The following is a 20,624-nucleotide window of genomic DNA, read 5'->3' as shown; positions in this document are numbered from 1 at the left end:
CCTTCCTTCACTCCTTCTGTCTGCAATACAAATGTGATGGCTGGAGATCCAGCAACCATCTTTACCTAATGAGTTAGCTTTAAGAATGGAGGCCTTACAGAGGATAGAGGAGAAGAAAGATGGAAGGAGCCTGGATCTTTGTAGACTCTAGAGTCCCCATATCAGACCTGGATGACTTATATCTAGATTTCTTAGACATCAGGAGAGACATAAACATCTTGTCTTGTTTTAATCTTGCTTTTTTTTTTTTTTGAGATGGAGTCTTACTCTGTTGCCCAGGCTGGAGTGGCACGATCTCGGCTCACTGCATCCTCTGCCTCCCGGGTTCAAGCAGTTCTCTTGCCTGAGCCTCGCGAGTAGTTGGGATTACAGGCGCCCACCACCATGCCTTGCTAATTTTTGTATTTTTAGTAGAGACGGGGTTTCATCATGTTGGTCAGGCTGGTCTCTTAACTCCTGACCTCAGATAATCCACCCACCTCAGCCTTCCAACGTACCGGGATTACAGGCATGAGCCACCACACCCAGCCTAATCTTGCTATTTTTTGTTATACTGAGACAAATCTAATATTGATGAATGGAGTGAGGGTTCAATGAATGGATGTAAGTATATATTCCCATAATATATTAAGGAACATTGATTTTCAGCCTTTTATTTAGTTTTGGCATACATAACAGGTCACCTGAGTGAGTAGTCTCGTAAGTGAGTTATATATTATTTCTGGTATCCTTGCTGAAATGACATCCACACAAGGAAACCTGGAGGCTGAAGTTAGTGAGAGGAGTATTATTTTAGAGAAAGATTTGAATTTCAGTGTTGTTAATTGTCATTATTGGCAAGTTACTTGCGACATGCCTGCCAAATGATCCCAATAGATCACACTTGGGATTATCGTACACTGTCTTGAAACAGCTTTTTCTTTGCATTCAACAATTCAGTAGCCAAAATATGGTTGTGGATTAATGTGATAGTGGAGCAAATGTAAAAGGAAGGATGATTGAAAAGAATATTAAAAACTTAGTGAGAAATTACAGGTAGAGGGGTGAAGGATAAATAAAATGTTAAAAATGATGCCAGTGTTCTCACTTATAAGTAGGAGCGAAACAATGGGTACACATAGTCATAGAGAGAGGAACACACATTGGAGACTCCAAAAGGTGGGAGGTGGGAGGTGGGTGAGGTTTGAAAATTACCTGCTGGATACATTATTCTTTATTGGGGTAATGGGTACACTAAAAGCCCAGACTTCACCACTACACAATATATCCATGTAGCAAAACTGTGCTGGTACCCACCGTCCCCCAAATCTATTAAAAAAATAATAAAGCAGCAAAGCTTTTGTATTTAAGGCCTGAGATGGTGTGATGGTGTTGGTAGAAATAGGCAAATTAGAAAGGGGTTCCTTGTAAGGAAATAAGTGTTTCATTACCTAAAGCTAAGAATATGTTTAGTGGATATGTTTCCCATTGGTGTGTATGAATTTTCTGCATAATGTGAATTGTGTTACACCAATATAAAAGAGTTTCCTTGATCTTATTCCCACCCTAAAGGATGTTATAGAACTTCACGAAACCCGTGGTTGCAGTTAGTTATACTCTTACACATTCCACAGCCACCCCTATCCGTAGGCAGGATTTCAAGGACTAATCTTAAAACCACTTATCAATTGTTATGCATGTGGCAAAACTATGACCACATTGAAAACAGGAATTCAGCTTAAAGCAGCTTTATTTCCTGATTTTTAAAAGGATTATGATTAACATTGTAGGACTTAGGGTAGTATCTGTTCACATTTTTGAGGCATGCACTGAAGGATGACTCACTATCCTGACTCACTTGTTTAAGTTCACTGTCATTCAGAAGCTCTTTCATTCTGCTTTTCTTTTTCTGGTTTTCATTTTTACCCCAGTGAATAGAATTATTATGGTAAGTCTCACATTGCTGAATATAACCTTTGTTTTTTCTTAATTGGTGTGTGTATGCCACGCCTCTAAGCACATTCAAATCTTTTACTAAAGATGGCTGTCACTTCAATGTTTAGTCTTGGCAGGAAGTATAGTGTAGTGGGAATTAGCAATGTTTAAGAGTAGTGAAACAGACTTCCTTGTTAATAAGATGAATATATAAATACTATATTATTTACTTTAGTGGAAATATGCACCTGCTATTTAGGTATGTACTATAAATTTAGTTGTAACCTAACCAACTAAAGCCCATTTTAGGAAGTACCATCAGGCCTGGTAACTGTCTCTGCTTAACAAAACAATTGAGCTGCCCCAACTATTTCAAAGAATAATTTGATACAAAATTACAGTGAAATAATTTGAATAGTCCTTAAAACTTATGATGGAATCTGACCATTAACTTAAGATCCTAGGTGAATAAACTGAAGTTGTAGAATGTCAGTGAGCTTTGCTACACTATATAGACGTTAAACATAGTTAAGTGAACAGGACTTAGAGTCAGAGAGGCCTGAGTTTGATCTGTGGCACCACCACTCAGTAGCCATGTAATCTGGGGCCAACATTGATCTCTCTAAGTCTCATTTTTCTCATCGCTGCGATGGTATCTTTATCACTATGGTTGTGATTACGATTAAACTAGATAATTCTTGTTCATTCAGTTAGTCTTTCAGTAACTTTATTGAGCCACCAATTAGATGTCGGGCACTGTCCTAAGCACTGGTTACAGTGGTAAATGACATGGTCTGATCTGTCGGTTCAGTGGACCAAAATAAACAAGTAAACAAACATACATTTTCTAGCATTTCATATAAATGAAGTTCTACAGTATGAGGTCTTTTGTGTTTGACTTCTTTTATTTGCATTGTTTCGTGTTATCAGCAGTTTTTTCCTTTTTGTTGTTGAATAGTATTCCAAAGTATGAATTAACCAAAATTTGCTTACCTTTTCACCAATTGATGGATATTTAGGTTGTTTCTAGTTTTGGGCTGTATGAACTTTCACATAAAAATTTTTATAAATAAATGTTTTTGTTTCTTTTGCGTAGATACCTAGGAGTGAGATTGCTGGTCAGTATGATACAATTTTATATCTAACTTTATAAGACACATGCTCTCATTTCTAACATGGCTGTACCATTTTGTATTTTCACGCATGCTGCAGGAGAGTTCTAGATGCTCCATATCCTTAGCAGCACTTGATGTTTTCAGTATTTTTAACTTTGACCATAGTGGTACCTCAGTCGTGGTATCTCAGTGTGATTTTAATTTACATTTCTCTAATTATTAGTGGTTTGGGGCATCTTTTAGTGTATTTTTTGGCCATTCATATATCCATGTGTCTTTTGTGAAGTGTCTATTCAAATCTCTTGCCTGTTTTTTTTTTAATTTTTTTTATTATTTTGTTTTTATTTATTTATTTTTTGAGACGGAGTCTCACTCTGTTGCCCAGCTGGAGTGCAGTGGCGCGATCTCAGCTCACTGCAGCCTCCGCCTCCCAGGTTCCAGTGAGTCTTCTGCCTCAGCCTCCCTGAGTAGTTGGGACTACAGGTGTGTGCCACCACGCCCGGCTAATTTTTGTATTTTTAGTAGAGATAGGGTTTCACCATGTTGGCTGGGCTGGTCTTGAACTCCTGACCTCAGGTGATCTGCCCACCTTGGCCTCCCAAAGTGCTGGGATTACAGGTGTGAGCCACAGTGCTCGGCCTCTTTTGCTTTTTTTAAAAAACAAAACCCGAAAAAACAAAAAACAGGCTGCTTGTTTTCTTCTTACTGGGTTGTAAGAATTCTTTAATCTGGATATAAGCCTTCTGTCTAATACATATTTTACAGGCTTTTCTCCCAGTCTTGCTTTTTCATTTTCTTATTTATATCCCTTGAAGAGCAAGAGGTTTTAATTTTGATGAGCTCTATTTTTATCAGCTTTTCTAGTTTGTGCTATTTTTGGTTAAAAAAAATTTGGCTAACCCAGTATCATCGAGATTATCTCCTATATTTTCTTCTAAATAGTTTTTACACTTTCATATATGTTCGTGGTTTATTTCAAGTTAATTTTTGAATACTGTTGAGGTAAAGGCCAAGGTTTAATATAGATATAGATACCATATAGATACCTAGTTATTTCAGCACCATTTGTTGACAAGACTGTCTCTCCCCACTTCAATTATGTTGGCAACTTTGAGCCTATGAAATCTTGCTATCATTTGCAACCATCTTTTTTCAGCAAGAATCTAAGGCCGACAACAGAGCTTATTCAAATATAAATAAATCCGTTTTGTAATCTCACTCTTGAGTACTATATAATTTAGGAGGTTGTGGCAATAAAGAAGGGAACTGCCTTTCAGGGCTAATTCTAACTAATAAAGAAGTACGTGTTGGTAAAGTAGAAGAGATGGTAACTTCCTAGAATTTCTACTTGTAAAGGAAAAACATTGTTCATACCCAGTTAGTGATATGTGATTTACTTTAGGAAAATGAATTAGAAACATATTAAATGTGGGCTTGATTACCACAGACTGAAAGGAAAATTGGATCAATATAAGAAAAATCTACAGTGACTACTTATACTCATGAGAAAGAAAAGATAAAGAACTATACATAAAATAAAGTAGCTGCTTAGGGTGCTCTTTGAGTTCACATTTAAAAAGAGTTTGGGTGAAAGGTGGGAGAAAAGGCTTATCACCAATAGGGAGTGAAAAAAGTAGTAGATACTTAAACATAGCATCAGGAAAAGTAAAAACTGAATGAGTTGATATCTGTGAACAGTGTGGAGTCTGATAGAACACCTTCAAAAACTTATTTTGGATTCTACAGATCAATAATAACTAGATAGGCCTGCTGTTTGGAACATATCATATAATGTAAACATAAAGAAAGCATGTATGTCCTGGACTCTTTTGCTTCCATCTGTTTTTGTTGTTGTTGTTCTTTTTATCGTAAAATTATCTTTGAACAGAAAAGAGAATGGACAGAAATGAGAGGTCATTGAGGCTCAAGGTCGGTTAGGAGATAATAAACCATTTAAATTTAGGTCTTTAGGATTAGATGAGCTGTTGTCTTAGACTGTCTATTTTAGAGTAATTTAATAGTCTTTTAAGGGTAGTAAAATATGGAAAAGGTACCAGAAGACTAGACTCCGAAGAGAAGCATGGGTAGATTCTGGTAACTAGAAACTATTGGACTTCATGCTAATCCTAATCAGAATTCGAGCTTAGTTTTATTAAATCATGGTTTATGAATGGGTTTAAAAGGAAATAATGGTCTTTAGGGACTTTTCTGGGTATAATAGCACTAATACAACTTCCTTTTTTTGTTATTACTTAACAGGCAACCTAAAGAAATGTTGGAGATAAGTTTTATTTGAGTGTTAGAAAGGTATACATGTCTTCTATGATCCTACCATAGACTAGAAGAACAAATGATGGTTGGAGGATATAGGTCATATATAGATTTTATAATTGATTGATAGACCATAGTTAAATTAATTTGTTGATGTTTATCAGAATGAAAGTCTTTGCCAGTGGGTCCTAGGATCTTAGCTTATTCAGCAGTTTTTCAGTGGCTAGGGTGAAAATTTAGTTACAATTGTTGGATTTATGAAGGGAAGGAGATAGGTACAAAGTTGATAGAGATAGCTAAAGTAAGGTTATGAAATTAAGATTTACAAAGATCTTTATAGGATAGTCATGGACCAAAATGGAAAATGAGTTAATTAAAAATAATAAAATGTCAAGCTCTGTATTGAGATTGAGAAAGCTTCTAAGAGAGGTCTGAGATATTTTAATTAAGTATGTGCTAATAAGAACCCATTAAATTGACTTAACAGCCAGAAAATAAAAGTGGATATTTGTTTGCAGATCAAAGGAGGTAATAGTGCTGCTGTTCTCCCACCAAACCTTTTCCGGGGTATCATGTTGAATTTGGGGCATCAAATTTCAAAGGGGACTTTAGTAAATGTCATGTGTTAGACAGTGTGAATATGTCAGAGTTTTGTATTTACAGGCCTCTCATGTGGAAAAGCCTAATTTTGTTTAGAACTAAAAGGAAGACATTTCTATTAATAATTAGAACACTTCAAGCTGGAATGGGCTGACTTGTGAGATTTTCATTTCTGGAAGCCTTAAGGAGAAATTGAGTGATCACTTATTAAGAGATGTTATCGAGGGGATATCATCATTTGTGAGAGGTTGAGCTTTAAGTTTCCTTCCAATTTTTTAACTTTTTAAGAATTAATTTTTAAAATTAATTTTTAACTTTAACTTTTTAAAAATCCAGTCCGTTTTGTCCTCAAGACTTTACTCCTAACAAATGCCTTGTATTTATATAGCACTTTAAAGTTTTGGCTGGGTGCAGTGGCTCATGCCTGTAATCCTAGCACTTTGGGGAGGCCAAGGCGGGCGGATCACGAGGTCAGGAGATCGAGACCATCCTGGATAACACGGTGACACCCCGTCTCTACTAAAAATACAAAAAATTAGCTGGGCGTGATGGCGGATGCCTGTAGTCCCAGCTACTCGGGAGGCTGAGGCAGGAGAATGGCGTGAACCCCGGGAGGCGGAGCTTGCAGTGAGCTGAGATCGTGCCACTGCACTTCAGCGTGGGCGACAGAGTGAGACTGTCTCAAAAAAAAAAAAAAAAAGTTTTAAAATGCTTTATGAGCTTGATTAAATGTGATCTTCACAAGAATTTTATGAGCTGGGCAGGAAATATTTTATAATTATCAGGCAGCTGTAGTGTAATGATTTTGAGAATGGGTTCTGGATCCCAACTGTGTTCACATCCCGCTCTGCCGCCTGCTGTGAGACATTTGGAAACTTCAGAGCGCCTCCCTTTCCTCATCTGTAATTTGGCAGCGATAATAGTGACTACACCATAGGGTTGTTTGAGTTTACGTATGACAATATGCTTGAGAAAATATGCTTAGAACACTCCAACCTGCTCCAAACAGTGCCTGACTTAGTGGACATTGAGCCCCTGTGAGTTCACGCTCTTATTGTGTTGTCATCATTGTTTTTCTTTTATAGATTATGAGACTGAAACTTGTGCAGGTTGTGACTTGCCCAAGTTTACATCAATAATAAGTAGTAAAGAAGTTATTAGGAATTCTGTTGAATCAGATGAAAACAAAAATGAAGTAAAGTTAATGGTATATGGAATAATTTTGTGAAATAGTATTGATTTGTTAAATGAATCAGATTATGAAATTATTGGCTGTCGATTTGGGGAAAATTAAAGTTTGCATGTGTTTACAGATATCCACACATTCCAGACATTATTTGTTAGAAAAGTTGTTTCTAAAGCGTATATCAATAAAGAAACCACATTTTCCAAAAGATTTTTGCTTGATAGTGTTTAAAAGGAAGTAGGCAATTAACTTTGGTTTCTGTTTGCATTCCATCATACTTGCCAGGCAGTTTAAGCTTCTGATTTCTAGATGTGCTTAGATTTGTAGAAGAACAGAAAGCCAACTGAAGGCAAGTCCTATAAGAAAAATCCAAATTGCTTTGGGAGGCCTGGCTGGGCGGATCATGAGGTCAGGCGTTTGAGACCAGTCTGGGCAATATGATGAAACCCCTTCTCTACTAAAAACAACAACAACAACAACAACAACAATTAGCCGGACATGGTGGCGGGCACCTGTAGTCCCAGCTACTTGGGAGGCTGAGGCAGAAGAATTGCTTGAACCTGGGAGGCGGAGGTTGCGGTGAACCTAGATCGTGCCACTTCACTCCAGCCTGGGCGACAGATCAAGACTCCGTCTGAAAAAATAAAATAAAGAAAAATCCAAATTGTCTCTTATTTATAATATTACAATAAACAAAGAATGATCTTGCTGAAATTCTACCCTTACTTCAGATAATCACCTTTTCTAATTAAGTCATTAACTTCTCTTTAGTTTTCTATTCATGTTAGAAACAGTTTATAGTTTACCTTTCTCTCACTGCTGGTATGGTCCTGTGGTGAACACATCTCTTATGGTAAGGATTTAAAAATTCATTTGCAAGGTTATAAGCATCTTGAAGGCATATCTTGTCTTGATAAACTGTTTCTCAGTACTTAAAAAGAGCCTTGCACATAGAGAGTTTGTGAAATTGTAAAGCATTGATGGTTTTACTGGAAAGCAAAGGATCTACCAGATCAATGGTATTAAAAATCGTCAATTAAAGTAATTTACTGTTCACAAGGATAGTAATGTAAGCTGTTTGTCAGTAAGTTTATTAAAGTCTTTTGTGTATGTTAATCCCTCACTAACCTTGGAAGTTATGTTCTTGAAAGGACTATTGGCCAAAGTGTGGTTGGCAAAACTATAGTCAACAAGATCAGTGTCATATGCAAATACAAGTTCACAGGAGAAGATACCCTCTAAGAGGCTTTACAAGCATTTTTAAAAACAAAATACATGAAAGTCCTACAAGACATTCATTTCAAAACAGTCCAGATTTGTTAGAAATAAAAAAATCTCATCTGGTAGGTACATTGATCAGGAAAGTTGTAGTATGGCCTACTGAGGCAGGTTCTCCTGTAAATTTTTGTTACTTGTATTTATATTTTCAAGATATTTGAGCCAGTTCTGAAAAGCATAAAGTATAATGCCTTTAGCGTTTGTATTATCCTTTAAGTTTTGCAGCTCTCAGCAAAATGCTGACCCTTTTACAGATGACTGCGGTGGTAAAGGATATGTTTCTCTGGGCTGGTCTGCTGTTCACGCGTAGAGAAGGTGGAACACGGCAGCTTCACCTCTTTCTGCTCAGCACCCCTGCTTGCATGGCCTGCTGGGGAAGAAAGTGTTAATTAGTTTTCTTTTGGCCACAGGAGAGAAGTATTAGCTCTTTGGATTACTTTTCTTTTAGAGCAGTGAAGAAGCTAGAGGACATTCTCCCCAGAAAGGCTGAGGGGACCTTACCCCAAATCCTCCTGGCTGTCAGATCACTGGAGGCTGAGGGAGGGTGGGGCAGAGAGGGGAGGGTTTGCCTGTGTGGGAGAAGCTGTGTTGCAGTGGTCTTTTCCTTAGGAGGGATTTTTTTGGCTAATGTTAATTATATTTACAATTGTTTAAAAATTTATGTTTGTATTCTGACAAGGTGGTATGTGTACATAACAAAAAGTTCAGGATGTACTAAAGAGTGAAAAATAAGTGTCCTTTCTGTTCACCTAGATTTAATCTCCCCAGGACAACCACTGTTAACTGTGTGTAACTATTCTGAGCCTTGCCCTGTGTTTTTTGTTTTGTTTTTGCTTACAGTATATCTTGGGGACGAATCCAAATCAGTACATATAATTTTGCTTCATGATTTTTAATAACTGAATTGATGGGCTTTTATGTTGTTTTTGGTCTTTTATTGCTGCATTGTGAAGTTGGTCCTGCTTATCTACTTAGAAAATTTAGATTACTGGCCAGGCGTGGTGGCTCACACCTGTAATCCCAGCACTTTGGGAGGCCGAGGCGGGTGGATCACGTGAGGTAAGGAGTTTGAGACCAGCCTGCCCAACGGGGCAAAACCCCGTCTCTACTGAAAATACAAAAGGTTGGCCAGGTGTGGTGGCAGGCACCTGTAATCCCAGCTACTCGGGAGGCTGAGGCAGGAGAATTGCTTGAACCCAGGAGGATGAGGTTGCAGTGAGCCGAGATCGTGCAACTGCACTCCAGCCTGTGCGACAAGAGCGAAATTCTGTCTTAAAAAAAAAAAGAAAAGAGAGAAAATTTAGATTACTGTTATAAATGCATTCTATAAGTTCAGGTAGTTTACTGAATGACTTCAAGACAGTGCTTTCTAGGAAATATTTTCCACAGTGAGAAGGATGGCAGATCTTTCATGTAAAATGTTTTTATAGTCAGTCTCCTTGGAGTTGGTATTTTATGTGGAAATTGACATAATTCATCAAGGGCAGCATTGGGGACAAGGCTCCCCTCCCCCACCCCACACTTGTGACTTCTTCATAGAGTTTAACTCTTTGACTGCTATGTAAAAAATCCATTTATGGTCTGATTGAACATTGTGTTTAAGGTTTTGGCCAGGTGAATTGAGGGTGGAACATTTGGTTGGGCTACCGTAAAGAAACCTAAATATTGGGCCGGGCATGGTGGCTCACGCCTGTAATCCCAACACTTTGGGAGGCCGAGGCAGGTGGATCACGAGGTCAGGAGATCGAGACCACCCTGGCTAACACGGTGAAACTCTGTCTCTACTAAAAATACAAAAAAATAGCCGGGCGTGGTAGCAAGCACCAGTAGTTCCAGCTACTCGGGAGGCTGAGGCAGGAGAATGGTATGAACCCAGGAGGCGGAGGTTGCAGTGAGCCGAGACTGCGCCACTGCACTCCATCCTGGTGACACAGCGAGACTCCATCTCAAAAAAAAAAAAAAAAAAAAAAAAAAACCTAAATATTTTTCAGGATCCCCAGACAAGATGTTACCTGGAGCCTAGTAGCAGTAGCCCCTTTCCCTTTTTCTCATGGATCAGTTGTGTTTAAGAGTATTGTTTCTTTTAATATCTGGAACGTGATTGTGCAAGTTTCTCTGGAAATTTACATTCTACTACTGTTATTTTTCTCGAATATATTCCCTATTAGGAAGATAATATATATATGGTAGATTATATAGATGTTTCTTTTTTTTTCTTTTTTTCTTTTTTATTTTTTGAGATGGAGTCTCACTCTGTCACCCAGGCTGGAGTGCAGTGGCGTGATCTCAGCTCACTGCAAGCTCTGCCTCCTGGGTACAAACCATTCTCCTGCTTCAGCCTCCCAAGTAGCTGGGAGTACAGGCGCCTGCCACCATGCCTGGCTAATTTTTTGTGTTTTTTAGTAGAGACGGGGTTTCACCGTGTTAGCCAGGATGACCTCGATCTCCTGACCTTGTGATCCCCCTGTCTTGGCCTCCCAAAGTGCTGGGATTACAGGTGTGAGCCACTGCTCCCGGCCAGTTATATAGATGTTTCTTAATATTGAAGAAATATATATTTGGATGTGATTAGATTTGGTTTTAAAATTTGCTTTTTGAGTAAAATTTGCATAGTTAAAAAGGCTTACAGTTACCCTTATTTTGGTCATTCAAATATGAATGACCTAGGTAATAATGATTGAATACCCAGGTAATAATGATACGTTAGTAGTATCAAAATATTAATTAAATTTTTACTAAGTTATTTAGCTTTCTTGATGACCTCACACTAATTTCTAATCCCTAAATATTTTTCTTGTTTTCCTATATATACTTCTGCTCCTGCGGTAGATTACCCAGTTGTGAGGGGTGAGTATTGTGAAAAAGGAGGTGACGGAGACATGTTAGAAGCTCGGGGCCCTGTCTTTCCTACCCCACGTTACTGTCGACGCAGCTGCTGCTGTTCAAATAGCCATTCCTGTTGCTGGGGGTCTCTGACTTTTTATTGTAACATTGCAGCTTTCTCTCCTTGTCCACATGGTGAGTTTCTACCATGCTTTTGTTTTATTATTACTGTTTTTTGAGGCAGAGTCACATCCTGTCGTCCAGGCTGGAGTGCAGTGGCCTGATCTCAGCTCCTTGCAAACTCTGTCTCCCGGGTTCAGGCAATTCTCCTGCCTCTGCCTCCTGACTAGCTGGCACTACAGGCACCCATCACCATGCCTGGCTAACTTTTGTATTTTTAGTAGACATGGGATTTCGCTGTGTTGGCCATGCTGGTCTCAAACTCCTGGCCTTAGGTGATCTACCTGCCTCGGCCTCCCAAAGTGCTGGGATTACAGGCATGAGCCACTGTGCCCAGCCTCTACCATGCTATTTTAGGACCTGGATCAAACGTTGTTTTGTACCTAAAACTTTTTTCTGACTTTGCTTTTTTTCTATCAGCTTTTTTGTAGCATTTAAAAAACATCTATTAAAGAGCATTTTTCACATTATTTACAGTTGGTCTTTATGTGTCTGATTCCCTCAGGAATGTGATCTTTTTGAGGAACTGTTTTATCTGTCTTTGTATTACGTGATAGCTAGGTGCAGTGGCAGTAAATGGTGTTCAGTACTTTCTGAATTAATGAATATTAGAAAGTTTAATTCATCTCATTTCTCCAAGGAAAAGCTGGTCTTTATATTCTTCATCTGATTGTCATTCACTTAATGATTGGCCAGTCGGTATTCCAAGTGGAACTTTCAGGTATCCATAGAGATAGGGCAGAATTATTTGATTATATAATTTGCTTTAAAAATTGTCCTACAGCTTTCCATCTAAAACCTTATAAGAATACCGAGGAGCAAGTTTTCCTTTCTAGTCACCGTACTATGTTATAGAAAAGGTAAAATGTATTTGGAAAATTAAAAAAAATTTTTTTCTAACTTATAGTGTCAGTGTCATCTGTCTTTAGTGCATTTCATTCCAGTGTCTTTTCTGTCTGTGGCTTTTCTTGTTTAATTTTGTTTTGTTTTCCACAGTAGGTAGATGATTTATTGCTTGATATTGGAGTAACTTTAGGCTTCAGATGGCTCAGTTCTGGTGAAATCCATTATTTAAGATCTGTGCACATCTAGGGAGGTTGCTCTGTCTCACAGTGAAAAACACTTACGGCTTTCTATTGACTTGAAGGCATTTCCTTGCCTCTTGCCCTTATTTAATGCTAGAGGATCCTTGTTGACAGATTCTCTTGTTAAGCCTTTGTTCATTTGCTTGCGATTTTATTTATTCAAAGCCTTCTTGCATTGTTCCAAGTGCCACTTCTCTAACTTAAGAACTGTGTGATCTTTGCAGTTAACCTACCAATTTTCTCATTTGTTTAATGGGCAATAATGATACCTACCTCGTAGTTTTGATGTGGGGAGACTAAATGAGGTAATATACATAAAGCATTTGGATTGTACAGAATAAATGCTGGTTACTGCTTATCACTCAGGTTCTTAGTTGCTACTTAATTCATCTGGTCTCCTGAAGAGTGACATACATATATATATATATATATATATATATATATATATATATATATATATGGCACTATTGATGTTTGTTATATAAAATAAATCTTACTTATTATATAAGTTATCCTAACACAACATTATTAGCACAATAACAGTAACAGAGTTTAAGGAATATAATATTAAACACATGCACACATGAGATACATATAACGCAGTTCAGGATTTGTTAGGTGAAATGTGTGGATTGCAGCTGTGTCTTGTGAGAATTCTGTGGTACTGTGCTTGGAGCTTAGGGTACCTTACAAAAATGATTGAATGAGTGACACTTTTAGTGTGATATGAGCACTTTTATTTATTAAATCCCATTCAGTGTTACCAAATTGCTGGCTTTTGATGGCCTTATGGTCAAATTTGAACCCAAGGGCCATTCAGGGACCCAGTAATACTTACATAACTCAAAGGATGATAACATAGTTCTTCCTGTGTGCTTCTCAGTTGTTCTAGGCAATACCTCGTTCTTGTTTTTGAGTGTCATTTTAGGCACAGTTTGGCTTTTGCACATTATTTTTTATTTAAAGGGTAGAAATGTTACCATTGGGTTGATCGTTACCACTGCCTGTGGAATTAGTTATTAAGCATCAGAGTGGGCAGTCTATGAATTATCTTCTTATATCTGGTCTGCAAGAATTTGCTGTAATTAGAACATTTCTTGTTAATACCTATGGGCCAAATTCAACACAAACTTTTATTGTAGTGCATATAACTGCACATACTTGCAATTCTGAATGAGCTGGGAAAGAAGTTCTTAAAACTAAGTGAATGAAGTAGATTCAATAGAGCCCTTTCTGTAGTCATGGGAATTAATCATGAAGGCAGTTGCTTTAGTAATACTAAAAGGATAAAGTGTTTTAGTAAAGTTCAGTGTCATTTGATGATTATTGTGTCAAATTTTTACATGTTTCCAGATCATTTCTTGTTATTATCCTAAAACACACAACTTAAAACATAATATAGCAGGTCCAGTTGATTATGACCACAAAGAATATTTCATATAAATTGTTCTTGGATTCTTCAGAATACCATTCATCTCCATTTTGCACAAATAATTGACAATTTCATGTAATGAGATTGGAGGGCTACTAGAATCCAGAAAGTACAGCTGTTAGAATTCACAGGAATCACATAGATTTGTTTCTGTGGGAAGAAATGTAAGGACTAGCAGAAGTGAGCAGAAATGTATAAGATCAACTATTAATACTTACACTTCAACAAAAGCACTTGATGGTTAGAAACATGGCTTTGAAGTTGAAATTGGACAGCCTGGCTTTTAAGTCCTGCCCTGTCTCTTACTTCCCATATGGCCTGAATTACTTAACATTTCCACGCCTCAGTCTCCACATATGTAAAGTGGAGATAGTCATAAAAACTAACATAGGCTTTTGTGAGGTTTAAGTGAGATTATGCATGTTAAATGCTCAGCACAGTGTCTGGCACATAGTAACCTCTCAATAAACAGTTTATAAAATATCCACAAGCAAGGAGTTGTTACAAACCAGTCTTGTGTCATCTGTTAAAACAATCATACTGCTGCAAAAGCAGCTAAAATATAATCTTGACTTTGTCAGCAACTGTAGGCGGGTTGAAGTGAGTAAAGTGACTCATATGTTTGTCTTGGTTCTAAATATCTGTTGTTGGCAATTTTGTCATTCAACCCTGTCCCCAAATGTGGGATTGCACTCATATGCAACAGCTAGTAATTATGTTTCTCTTCAGTAGTAATGGTATTTAAATATTGTTACATCACTTCATATCCTTTTAAGCTGTGACTCATCTTACACATAAATGTAGGAGTTACTAGTCTGATTTGGTGGGTTCCAGGGAGTCACTAAGTGATACTGTTTCTTTTCCTTGAGAAGTAAGGCGCAGGAGACTGCCAGATGGAGATCAAATTGTCTCCTCTGTTGACTGATTGGAGGACATGGCATCAGATCTGGAGTGAAAAGGGCTTATTAGCCTGCTTGACTTAGACCTGCCCACTGGGTGACTGACACAGCCAACAAGCCTGGGCCTCAAAGAGCAGGCACCTTCCTGCATGGAGAGCCCATTAGAGAGACCAGACCAGGGGACACTCAGGGACAGAAGGCTGCACCCAGGGACAGGGGCTGAGAGAGAGCAGGAGGTGAGCCTGTCTTGCCCAGGTGCTTCTTTCAGACCATTGACCCCACATGTCCTTCTGCCCCTTGGAGAGGAGAGTGGGAGAGTTCAGGAGCGCTGCCCTCGCTGCATTTCCTCCACGTGACTTGAAGCGTGATGGAAGCACACCCAGCCACATGAGCAGAGCCTTTCCACAACGAAAGGGAGCCTGTGCAGCTCTGCGAGTAGGAGAGATGAAGAGCAGAGTGAAGAGAGGGTTGGAGCACAAACACAGCAGATGAGTCTCTCGAGCACTTCATCTTCCCGGAGCCCCCTATGTTATTTAAAATGCAGGTGAAGGACTTTTAGATAACCAGAAGTACAAATTTAGGTAACTAGATTGTGACTTCTCATGTCTGAATTTTAGTCTTCATAAAAATTTAAATGCTATCTTGAAATAGAATAAATGGAATAAATATATAAGAGAAAGCTAAGAATCTTTAGCAAAAGTATACTTTTTTTGTAATGAAGGTGTATATGGAAATTAGCTTGTGAGTCTGATTTTCAGCATACGTTGATATATTAAATTTTTAATTGGTTGGATAATTCACTTTAGTAATTAATTTTTAGTAACTTTTTATGCTTTTCAAGAAATATTTAATGAGCATCTACCATGGGTTAGGCACTGATAGATACCAGAGACACCAGGATGGATGAGAAACTGTCCTCTTTTCATGGAGATCATAGTTCAGTAGAAGAGACATGTAATACATATATTCAGTAAAGAATTACAGGTAACAGATGTGGAAATACAGTAGGTCAGAAGCAGCAGTGGCCAGTTCTGCCTTACTAGCAATGGGCAGTGGTAAGGTGGAGCATATCTAAGCAGCTTACAATTCTAGTTTTGATTAAATTTGAGAAAAAAAAAGGCTTCTCTGTTATAATAAAATCTTGTCAGCATTTGTTTCTAGGACTTTAAAAATTATTTTGTTTCCTATCTTTCTAGAAATTAGGAAGCAAATAATAGAAGCTGACCCAGGACTTGGTGTGAGAAAAAATTTTAACTTAATTAAAACCATAATTTAAATATTTTACTAGTTATAGAAATATTAAATATCTACCTGACGCAAGGTGCTCTATGTATAAAATATTGGCAATTTGTCCTCTTCCCAATGATCTTAAAAACATGTGCTTACAAAAACAAAACAAGCAACCTACCAATTATATCGACACTGTTGATCTTTTTATTTGCAGAATCAGGGGCAAGCCATGGAGAATCAAGGGGACTCCTTGAAGGGAGGCTGAGGTGGCAGCTGGGAAGCTGACGGGAAGGGAAATCATTTGGGCAATAGCATTACAAGTGGGCACACCCAGAGGCCAGCAGGTGCAGTGTGTGTGCCTGGTCCTTCCACCCCGGCAGTGCTCACCATAGGGAAAGGGGAGGCCAAGCTAGCAGAGCTTTGCTGCATCCTCCCCAGCCCCACTGACCCTACTTGCTTGGCAACTGGGCATTTATAGAATTTGTTTGAAGAGTGTATTCTGCAAATTTAATGAAAAAATAAAAAAGTATTAATTTGAAGCATGATACAGTGGAAATAATGGTAATAATGCTATTGGTGATACGAGAAATATTTTGAATGGGAAGGTATAAATCATATTTGTGCTGATAATGAAAAGTTAAAATTGAAGAACATTTAGGCTTATTTCTTTTGAACACTTTGATTGTATCAGATAATGCATACTTAAACTAGAGGAGTAGGCCGGGCTTTGTGGCTCATGCCTATAATCGTAGCACTTTGGGAGGCCAAGGTGGGTGGATTGCCCCAGCCCAGGAGTTCGAGACCAGCCAGGGCAACATGGCAAAATCCCGTCTCGACAAAAAATACAAGTATTAGCTAGACAGGGTAGCATGCGCCTGTAGTCCCAGCTACTTAGGACTCAGGAGGCTGAGGTGGGAGGATCACCTGGGAGATTGACGCTGCAGTGAACTGTGATCGTGCCACTGCACTCCAGTCTGGGCGGCAGAGTGAGACCTTGTCTCAAAACAAACAAAATCCCCCAAAAACAAAACCTGGAGGAATATGAAGATATGTATGGAACTTGTGTGGCTCTTCTGAAGAGAAAATCTGGGCATTTCTGAGGACTTTGTGGGTTGATGGCACTGGGTCTTTCACATATCTTGCTTTCACTGGCTGTCCCTTTCCTTGATGGTGATTACTTATACTGTTCTATAATTGTGGCTATGACCTGTCTCTTTTCTTGTTGTTCCCAAGTAAACATAAGAAAGAGGAAAGGAAGCCAAATGATTTTTCTAAGATTATATGCTAATAGGGGGAGCAAGATGGAGATAAATGGGTTTTTGAAGTTGTGCAGTTTTTGAAAAGGCATTTGTTTAATGTGGAATTAATGTAGTTATGGGAGATGCAAGTGGGATTGGGTTGGACCGCGGGGAAGTATAGGATTGGATTGTCAACCTTAAATAATGGAAATATGATTAAGTAGAGTTAATTTGAGTCCAGAGCTTGAGGATGGCCACCTGGGTGCATAGATTGACATTGTCCTGAATATACACTCCAATTAGCAGCAGTTACAAGCGGGTTTTTAAGGAAAAAAGAAGGGACTGTTTCTAAGATTTTACCAAGAATTTACATCAAAATAACATAAGCTATTGATTGTCTAAACCTTGTTCTTTGTATCACAAATTCCAAGAACATGAAGATAATGGGGGAGGCAGCTAGCCAGGCACAAAATGCTCTTAAACAGTTTTCCCCAGGCATGGGAGGATCCATAACTGAAGTCCCATATGCACATCTCTCTGGGCCTGATAGATTTTGTGGACCTCACAGAGCTCAGACTGCTCTGAGCTATTTTTCTTAGGATTCTAGATGATCTCCCAATAAAGGGAAATAAAAGGGTCAAGAGGAGGTACTGGAACAGTTCTTCCTACAGGACCACCAGTGGTAGGGTGGCTTAGGCTTTCCCAGGGTGCTATTTCAGAACAAGATGTTTTAGGGGGAGAGCTGGTGTATGTAGCCTTTAGGTTCCCATATTTCATCTTGACCAGAGTGACCAGTCAAAATAAGTGGTATTTCAGACTCTTGTTGCAGATGTACCTTCCTTTATTTTTTGTGTTTTTAGTTGTGCTTTGATGTTAATCTGCTTCACTGCTCATTCCTCCTCTGAGCATTCCTTCCAGCCTTGGATCTAGAGCATGGCAAAATTATAATGGCATTTTTATCAATGGTGTTTATTAAGATTTCCACATGTAAAATAATCTTTATTCTTAATATATCTTAATCTGTGGTACAGTGAGGAAGTGATCACAAATACGTTTACTAAGATTTCAACATTTAAAAATAATCTTTTTTCTTGATGTATCTTAGTCCATGGTTCAGTGAGAAAGTGGTCACAACTAAAAACGTAACTAAGAGGCGCCAGTGAATTTGGTTGAAAGACACAAATAACTTATTCAGATTATTGTAAGGAAAAAAGAGCATTTGCTGTCTGAATTCGTTATACTAGAAATGAAAGCCATCAGGAACTGAAGCATGAAGCAGCTTTGGGGTGGGCTATTCAGTCTCTTTTGGGCTAAAAGGTCTCTTGTGGTGACTGCTTTGCTCTGCATCTCAGGTGCTGTTTCCTTCTCTGTACCAGCTACTTTTCCCTGCTTACTGGTAGTTTTTGCTTCCTCATTTTTTCAGCTTGCCTTTGGTCATCATTGCCTATTAAGCTCTTTATTGCATGGTGCTTCGTCTTTAACTCCCACTGCAAGTTGATCCATTCTCTAAGTTTCTCTTAGTTCATTCCCACAGAGAAGGGCTGGTTGAATAAATTATACTAATACTTTAGGGTGCTGTAAATCTGTGGAAAAGGTTGAGGTAGACCCACTGGGGTACTGGAGAAACTGCACTCAGTGACATCACTTTGGCAGCTTGGAAACTGGCCACCATAGCTTGAGTATTTGCCACATGGAAATCTGCAGATGCCACAAACAGGGCCCATTGCCTCTGCCTCTTCCCCCAGAAATGGTTGTTAACCTTTAGGGGCACTGCCGGGCAGATCTATAGATGTTAACCTATACGGTCTCCATGATGTACTGTTAAGTGAAAAAGAGGTGTCGATTTTAGAATGATTCTAGTTTTTGAATAAAATGGGAGATTAAATATTTGTGGGTGTTCATGAATACATGCAGATTCTTGAATAGTGTGGAGAATATTTTTGGCAGCTAACAATGATTGCTTCTAGAAAGTGGGGGCTTAGGTTTGGAGTGGGGAGTGTGTGTGCAGATCAGGGTTCAGTTTTAGACATTGTCTATATTTTATTGTGAACATTAATAGCCAATGCAGTTCTTACATAATCATAATAATGTCAATAGCATTTACTTCAGTTTCAAGTATTATGATGAGGTGTGTAGGGAAGGAAACATAATCCCTAACGTTGAAGATGTCAAGATCAGATGAATTCACTTTTCTCATATACCATCAAGGTCACAGCCATGTCCCTTTGTATTTTACGTCATGTCAGACTGACTTTTCTCACTCTGTTAATTGCTTGTCTTCAGATTTCTAATAGCCCCCTTACACTCTTTTTGATGTCTTTATATGTAAGCTTTTACTGTATCACTACTATACCCATGATCTTTGTGTTGCCTAGAATCCACTCTCTTCTAAGACACCTTATGTTTCCTATTCTAATGTAGACAGGTTGCTCTCTATGCAGCTACGCAGTTGGCATTTGGAAATGTCTAATTTTGGCCTGCGGCAATGTTACGGATCCTGTTTTTGCCTCTCTTTCTTATTTTGTGTAAAAGAATTATTCTGACCCTTGCTAAAAAGGGAAAGTGGACTTTATTCAGGACCATTGCAGTTGGTATCAAGACTGTTAAAACAGTGGAGAGGTCAGGCTCAACTCTGCACGCAGCAAGGACAACTGGAGATGGATAGCCAATGGGCAGAGCAAGAAGGTCAGTGATGGAAAATCACTAAGAGGAGAGACATCAAGTGTAGGGGGATTCTGGCTAAACCAACATAACAGGATTCTTGCTGAAGACAGGCCAGGGTGATCAGATATCAAGGGTGGGGGATGAGGAATCTGTTCAGATATGTAGGATGATCAGATTTCATGGAGAGTGGGGGGATTCTTGCTAAATTGAGTTAGCAGGATTCTTGCTACAACTGGGCTAGGCAGGCTGAAGATAGGACAAGGCTGAGGTAGAGGCTGAGGTAGTCAAGAAGAGGGCTTAAAGGAGCCTGCCCAAAGTTTGGTCAAGGAGCGTCTTTGTCAGTTCTTCCTGTTGCTGTTTTGTTTTTCTGTAGTATACTCTCAAATTCTTTTTTCAAAGAGACATTTCATAGGCAGTAAACTTTGAATCCTGTGTTTTCATGCTGCTGTAACAGCACATGACTTACCACAAACTTGGTGGCTTAAACAACACAGATGTATCATTTAATGGGTTCTGGAGGTCAGAAGTCTGAAATCAAGTTTCTCTGGGCCAGAGTCAGCAGGGCTGGTTCCTTCTGGAGCCACTAGGGGAAAATCCATTTCCTTGCCTTTTCTTGCTCTAAAGGCTGCCTGCTTTCCTTAGCTGGTGATGTCTTGCTTCCACCATCACACTGCCTCCTCCTTCCTTTAATCTTCTTGCTTCCTGTTCA

At 38.7% G+C, this 20,624-nt stretch overlaps 1 protein-coding gene across 10 annotated transcripts in view, besides 1 other annotated feature; it reads left to right on the top strand.

Moving 5' to 3' along the window:
* Nucleotides 1-20,624, top strand: part of USP6NL (USP6 N-terminal like) — a 151,141-nt gene that overhangs the window by 57,508 nt on the left and 73,009 nt on the right. The window lies entirely within an intron of this gene.
* Nucleotides 18,859-19,068: an enhancer, noted in NCBI's record as "active region_3014". NCBI's record gives its function as "activates an Ori minimal core promoter by ATAC-STARR-seq in GM12878 lymphoblastoid cells {active_cell/tissue: GM12878}" and the evidence as "EXISTENCE:reporter gene assay evidence [ECO:0000049][PMID:35858748]".

Source organism: Homo sapiens, chromosome 10 (genome assembly GCF_000001405.40).
Source record: "Homo sapiens chromosome 10, GRCh38.p14 Primary Assembly".
Classification (NCBI taxonomy): domain Eukaryota; kingdom Metazoa; phylum Chordata; class Mammalia; order Primates; family Hominidae; genus Homo; species Homo sapiens.
Note: the sequence above shows the minus strand (reverse complement) of the source record. Positions and strands in the feature narration are given on the sequence as shown.